The sequence below is a fragment of the Homo sapiens genome, chromosome 5 (assembly GCF_000001405.40).
Source record: "Homo sapiens chromosome 5, GRCh38.p14 Primary Assembly".
In the NCBI taxonomy this organism is placed as follows: domain Eukaryota; kingdom Metazoa; phylum Chordata; class Mammalia; order Primates; family Hominidae; genus Homo; species Homo sapiens.
The window spans coordinates 124795778-124802306 of NC_000005.10; the positions used below are offsets into that span (position 1 = coordinate 124795778).

The 6529-nt window shown below is 43.7% G+C and overlaps 1 long non-coding RNA gene across 2 annotated transcripts, besides 1 other annotated feature; it reads left to right on the top strand.

Annotated features, from left to right (window-relative positions):
• Window positions 245–364: a silencer, noted in NCBI's record as "silent region_16279". NCBI's record gives its function as "represses an Ori minimal core promoter by ATAC-STARR-seq in GM12878 lymphoblastoid cells {active_cell/tissue: GM12878}" and the evidence as "EXISTENCE:reporter gene assay evidence [ECO:0000049][PMID:35858748]".
• LOC105379156 (uncharacterized) lies at window positions 1089–6321 on the top strand. 2 transcript variants are annotated; one of them, XR_948725.2, is made up of 3 exons: window positions 1089–1186; window positions 4639–4754; window positions 5798–6321. It is a non-coding gene; the product is annotated as an uncharacterized LOC105379156 (long non-coding RNA). The 2 variants fall into 2 exon arrangements; XR_948726.2 differs by lacking the exon at window positions 1089–1186 and adding an exon at window positions 3564–3685.
• Window positions 6322–6529: the final 208 nt, after the last annotated feature.

Below are 6529 nucleotides of genomic sequence, written 5' to 3' on the forward strand. Positions count from 1 at the left end.
TTTTCAGGGTGTTTCTCTCTCTCTCTCTCTCTCTCTCTCCTGATTCTTTCTCATTATAGTCTTTCTTATCCAAACCTAGTCTTCGTCCAGAGTTCCTATCTCAATGAAAGCACCATCATTCCTATCAGAAGTTTAGGTATTATCTGCCCTTCCTGCTCTTAACCATTTCATCTCCTCTGCACCCCCCACCCCCTGCATTTTGGGCTCAATGGGATGTGGGTTTGTAGTTGAAAAATGACTTTGCAGGTGGTGGTATGATGCTGCTTTTATTCGTGTGTTTGTCTTAATTTAGACTATGTTCTAATGCAGGGATCCCCAACCCCCAGGCTGCAGACTGGTACTGTGCCTCACAGCAGGAGGTGAAGGGAAGGTAGTAGCATTACTACCTGAGCTCAGCCTCGAGTCAGGTCAGCCACGGCATTAGATTCTCATAGGAGTGTGAATCCTATTGTGAACTGTGAATGTGAAGGATCTAGGTTGCATGCTCCTCATGAGTATCTAATGCCTGATAACCCCAACCCAACCCTCCACCCTCACCTTCCCATCCGTGGAAAAATTGTCTTTTGAAAAACTGGTTCCTGTTCCCAAAAAGGTTGGGGACCACTGTTCTGAAGTTTTTTTGGGGGAAAGAAAACATTTAGAACGTGGGAGGGTGGGATTGGGGGTGGGAGAGATTATTTCATAATTGCATTCTCATTTTTAGATTATTGCTAATATACTCTCACCTTTGGACTGGTCCTGAAAGAATTTCCCCATTGTAGGAGCTACATTTCCTTTATAACAATTATTTAGTGGTGACTGATGTTCCACTGAAAAAACACCATTCTCTTAATGAGACTGTCACTATTTCACAGTTCCTTTTGCTCTCTGTGTGGGACAAGGCCCAGGATGTCATACTGCCTGAGAGATTTCACTACCAAACAAATCTTAACCACCATGGGCTGGCCTAAGGAAGCAAGAGTGTGTTTGTAGTCAACTCAGAGTTACTGTGTTTCTGGGTGACCTGGAGCAATGTGACTTCATGTTTGGGGTGTTGTTGCTCACTGTACATCTCTTCTTCACCCCAGGGAAGAACCTGACCCAAAAGGGCAGCAGGCAATAGGTGAAAGGCTATACTAAGCCTTTCCCAGTAAGGTCAGCCAATTGAGTGCTGCATACATCCAAGCTGCCTTTAACCTTTTCCTAGGTAAGTCAACACAAAATAGTTTTTCTTCTTTCTATATTCCTGTATTCTTTTCATTGTATAAGAATATTTTATGGTGATAGAGGCGAGAGAAACTCTAGGCAAATGGGCAGGTTCGCCCCACCTTCAAGCTGAAAAGCCTGAAGCCCAAGGGCCAAAGTGAGAACTTCTGTCCCTGTTTGCCCTCTCTCTCCTGATTGGTTCTTTCTGAATAATTTTTTTTTTTTTTTGAGATGGAGTCTTGTTCTGTCACCAAGGCTGGAGTGCATTGTCACAATCTCAGTTCACTGAAACCTCTACCTCCCGGATTCAAGCAATTCTCCTGCCTCAGCCTCCTGAGTATCTGGGACTACAAGTGCACGTCACCACATCTAGCTAATTTTTTGTATTTTTAGTAGAGACAGGGTTTCACCATGTTGGCCAGGCTGCACTTGAACTCCTGGCCTCAGGTGATCTGCCTGCCTCAGCTTCCCAAAGTCCTGGGATTACAGGCATGAGTCACCCCACGCCCTGCCCCACATCCTGTGCCTACAAAGATCTGCAACTCAGCTGGTAGAGATGAGAAGCAGCTGGACATCAAGGAGAGGCAACTTGACTTCAGGGACAATGGCTGGATGTTGGAGAGAGGCAATTTGACTTTGGAGGAGAGAAGCAGACAGACAACTTGACTTCAGGAGAGAGCAACCTGCACTTCCCATCCGCTTTCCAGCTCCCCTTTCCACTGAGAGCTGCTTTCATCACTCAATAAAGTTTTCTGCATTCACCGTCCTTCAATTCATCCACATGACCTCATTCTTCTTGGGCACCAGACAAGAATTCAGAACCACCAAATGCGGATACTCAAAAAGGCTGTCACACTGGCCCTTTGCCCTTGCTGGTGGAGGACAGCCACCCCACGCAATGAGGAAAAAGGCTTACTGAGCTGATAACACTCTGCTGTTTGTGGACGGCAGAGCTAAAAGAGCATTGTAATACACCTCTGGGGCCTTAGGGTCACCCCCACCCGGACGTCACCGCAGGGCCTACACAGAGTTTGCGTCTGCTGTTGCCAAAGCAGCCAGCTGGTTCCTGCGCTCCATTACCTACGTGCTCCCTTCGGCGGGGGTGGAGCATGGTGGACTGAGTAAATGGGGCATCCCTGTCATGAGTCCCATAAAGCGTTCAAGAAAATATCCTACATCAATGGGATACTGGAACATAGTTAAAAACTAAGGAAATCTAAATAAATTATGAACTCGAGTTAAAAACAAGAGCGTTTGTACTTGGTCTCCGTACTATCTATATTAATGAAATGAAATGCTGATCCTGCTGTTGTTTCCCAAATTTTCCGTAAAATGGCATAGTTTTTCTTTTCTGGAGACTTTTGGAAGCTTGCAGTAAAGGAAAACAATGGCCTAACCAATGGCCTAGTTTGCGTGCCAGAGACCCATGATCTCCTGACAACTCTCCTGTTCAGCTTCTCAGGTGCAGTGCTCAGTGTTGACTTCCAGATGTTGACTTATGCTAGAGAATATTAAATTGAAGTCTACTGAGGGCTCTGGGTCAATCCCTGCATTTACCTAAAAGACAACACAGTATTAGAAGTCACTTCTACTCCTGAACCTTAATACCCCATTATTCTGATAATTAAACTTTTTTTTTTTAAATCACAGCTTTCCAACTTTCTATTCTAAAAAATTATTTCAAGGACAAGACCTCTGGGTTTATTATTTCCATATACCTGGACAATAGCTGATGCTTGCTGAATGATGGTTAATTTTTATTTTTGAGACAGAGTCACACTCTGTCGCCCAGGCTGGAGTGCAGTGGCACGATCTCAGCTCACTGCAACCTCCACTCCCTGGGTTCCAACAATTTTTCTGCCTCAGCCTCCCGAGTAGCTGGGATTATAGGCGCTTGTCACCACGCCCAGTTAACTTTTTGTATTTTTAGTAGAGATGGGGTTTCACCATGTTGGTCAGGCTGGACTTGAACTCCTGGCCTCAAATGATCCACCCACCTTGGCCTCCCAAGGTGCTGGGATTACAGGCGTGAGTCACGACACCTGGCCAATGATGTTTAATTTAAACTGCCCTCAATTTATTATCTGAGAAGTGCATACAAATAGGCAGGACGAAATAGCCAGTCAGCATAATGACATCACATTTCTTCTTTGGCACTTAAGAGAAAGAATCTGTAGAACTTAATTTGCAATGTCTCTAACCTGCTTTTGGAAAATGGACCCACCATCACTTTGAGAACAAAATGATGGTTGAAATTCAGATCCATCCAGATGAGGTGAGAAAAGGAAGAGCTGTTTTGCATCTTGCTCTTGTGCTGCCTCCTTTCATCATTAGTAATTCTAGCCTTCTCTTACCTGATCACGCAGGGACACATGATCTGAATGCACCATGGAAAACTCCCCAAATGCAAAGGAAATTAAAGGGGCTCCCTACTCTTTGTCTATGGATGAAGTTATGGACATTCTGAACCAAATCCACCTCTTCTACTTATTCAAATTTTGTCAGTATAAACATTTTTTTGTTCTCATTGTTCTAACACTATGTAGAGGAGATAATTTACATGAAAGTAATTATGTTGCTATATTTAGTAGTGCACTCTCTATCCATTCCTTAAATTGCTTTTATTTAAAACATTGAATGGGCCTTTAAACACTTGGAACGCATGTGTATAGTACTATTTTTTTTGTTGTCGTTGTTGAGACGGAGTCTTGCTCTGTCGCCCAGGCTGGAGTGCAGTGGCGCGATCTCGGCTCACTGCAAGCTCCGCCTCCCAGGTTCACGCCATTCTCCTGCCTCAGCCTCCCGAGTAGCTGGGACTACAGGCGCCCGCCATCACGCCCGGCTAATTTTCTGTACATTTAGTAGAGTCGGGGTTTCACCATGTTAGCCAGGATGGTCTTGATCTCCTGACCTCGTGATCCACCCGCCTCGGCCTCCCAAAGTGCTGGGATTACGCGCCCGGCAATATGTATAGTACTATTTAAAACATGACATCCAGAAAGCAGCCCTATTTTGATACAGTTTGTGTACCTCATAGCTTTTGGGGAAGCGCAGAGGAGAAAAAAATATCTCTAAACTTCCTTTTTAAACAATGTATTGCGGCCGGGTGCAGTGGATCACGCCTGTAATCCCAGCACTTTGGGAGGCCGAGGCAGGCGGATCACCTGAGGTCAGGAATTCGAGACCAGCCTGGCCAACATGGTGAAACTCCGTCTCTACTAAAAATACAAAATTAGCTGGGCGTGGTGGTGCATGCCTGTAATTCTAGCTACTCAAGAGGCTGAGGCAGGAGAATCGCTTCAGCCTGGGAGGCGGAGGTTGCAAAGAGCCAAGATCGTGCCATTGCACTCCAGCCTGGGTGACAAGAGCAACACTGTCTCAAAACAACAACAACAACAAAAACACCAATGTATTGTGACAGAGGAAAAATATCGTTTCCTCACCCATTGCTAGGTTCACCGTGAGGCCTCTATAAGGAAAGATGGATTAAAGAAAAGGATAGACTTATTTAACACACGTTTTATGTGACACGGGAACCTTCATACGGAAATGAAGACCTGAAGAAACAGGTAAACCAGTGTTTTTTTTGTTGTTGTTTTTCTGTTTTTTTTAAGACAGCGTCTTGCTTTGTTGCCCAGGCTGGAGTGCAGTGGTGTGATTTTGGTATCTGTGGGCATCTTGGAATGAATTTTCCATGGACACCAAGGGACAACTGTATTTTAGTATACATCTCTAAAAGACAAGGACTCTTTCTCTTTTTTTTTTTTTTTTTTTTTTTTGAGATGGAGTCTTGCTCTGTTGCCAGGCTAGAATGCCGTGGCGCGATCTTGGCTCACTGAAACCTCTGCCTCCCAGGTTTGAACCTATGATTTTCCTGCCTCAGCCTCCTGAGTAGCTGGGACTATAGGCGTGTGCCACCACACCAGGCTAATTTTTGTATTTTTAGTAGAGACGGGGTTTCACCATGTTGGTCAGGGTGGTCTCAAACTCCTGACCTCATGATCCGCCTGCCTCGGCCTCCCAAAGTTCTGGAATTACAGGCGTGAGCCACCACGTCTGGCCAACCTGTGTATGTTTTAATGCTAAGCTGGATGAGTAAGTGGATAGTTGTGAAGAAGTATGATTGGGTTAAAAAGTATGATCTAATGGTAATAAACTTGGGGTTGGGGAACTCAGCAACATCTGCCTCAGATTCTTTTCTGTGTCCCTATGCCTTCGGAGATAAAGATGTTCCTTTCTTTTAAGTGTAGGCAGGGAACCTCTGACGTGAGTGTCTTAACGACCTGCTTCACGGAAAGGTTAGAAAATCCTTCCTAGGTTTTAGGACCTGCATCAGAAGAGAAGGGTGGGAGACGGTCTGGGATACTTTCTTGCTTCTACTATTTTCTCAAATTCTTTCAGCTTAAAATATTTAATATGCCAAGGCACCATATCTTGGGTGTAATGTGTCTTGAACCCTAGCAATGTACTCTTAGAAGGAAGCTTCTATTTTATTGGCTTTCTCTTCCCACAAGCAAATGATTATTTTCATTTTCTTTATATATTTTACCCAGCTACCAGAAGTGGTTTCAAAAAAAAATCTGACATTGATTTATTTTTCTTCTTCCCTCAGGTTAAAACAATGAAAAGAAAGCAACTATTCTGTTGGACTGAACAATTTATTTGAAACTTTGACTTCACAAAGACTCAAGTAGCATTCTTTCATTTGTTTCATGGTGTTAGTTGGTTTAACCTTTTTTGACTTGTCCGAGCACAGTGAATTCACTGCCCACGGGGAGTTTGCTGACCATCTGCTCTATGTCATGTAGAAAAGCCACAGGGCCTTTCTTCCTTTCCTGGTGTCCGTAGTTCCAGAAGGATTTAGTCAAGATAAAATTGCCTCCCATCTTGAGTTGATGTGTTTGAATGTAAGAGTTACCTTTGGAGGGGAAAAGAAATAACTTTTTTTTTTTTAATCTATCATTAAGTTCATGGCTTGGGCCCTAATAACAAAGGACAGATTAACAAGAGAAAAGCATACACATTTATTTAATATAAGTTTTATGTGACATGAGAGCATTCATAAAGAAATGAAGGCCTAAAGAAATAGAGAAACTTGGAGATTTTTATGCTGAGGTTTGATTAAGTGTGATTGGACGACAAAAGGGCATGATCTAATGGTAATAAAAATTAAGAATTAAGGGGGAATTAAGCAAGGTCTGTTTGTTCATATTCTTCTCTGTGTCCCTGTGTCCTCAGAGGTAAGGATGGTCCTTTTCTCTGTGTTTGAAAGGATATTTTTTGAATGAAGGTCTCATGCCCTGCTCCATGGAAGAAGAGTGAGGGGAAGAGGAGAATGGCTCTT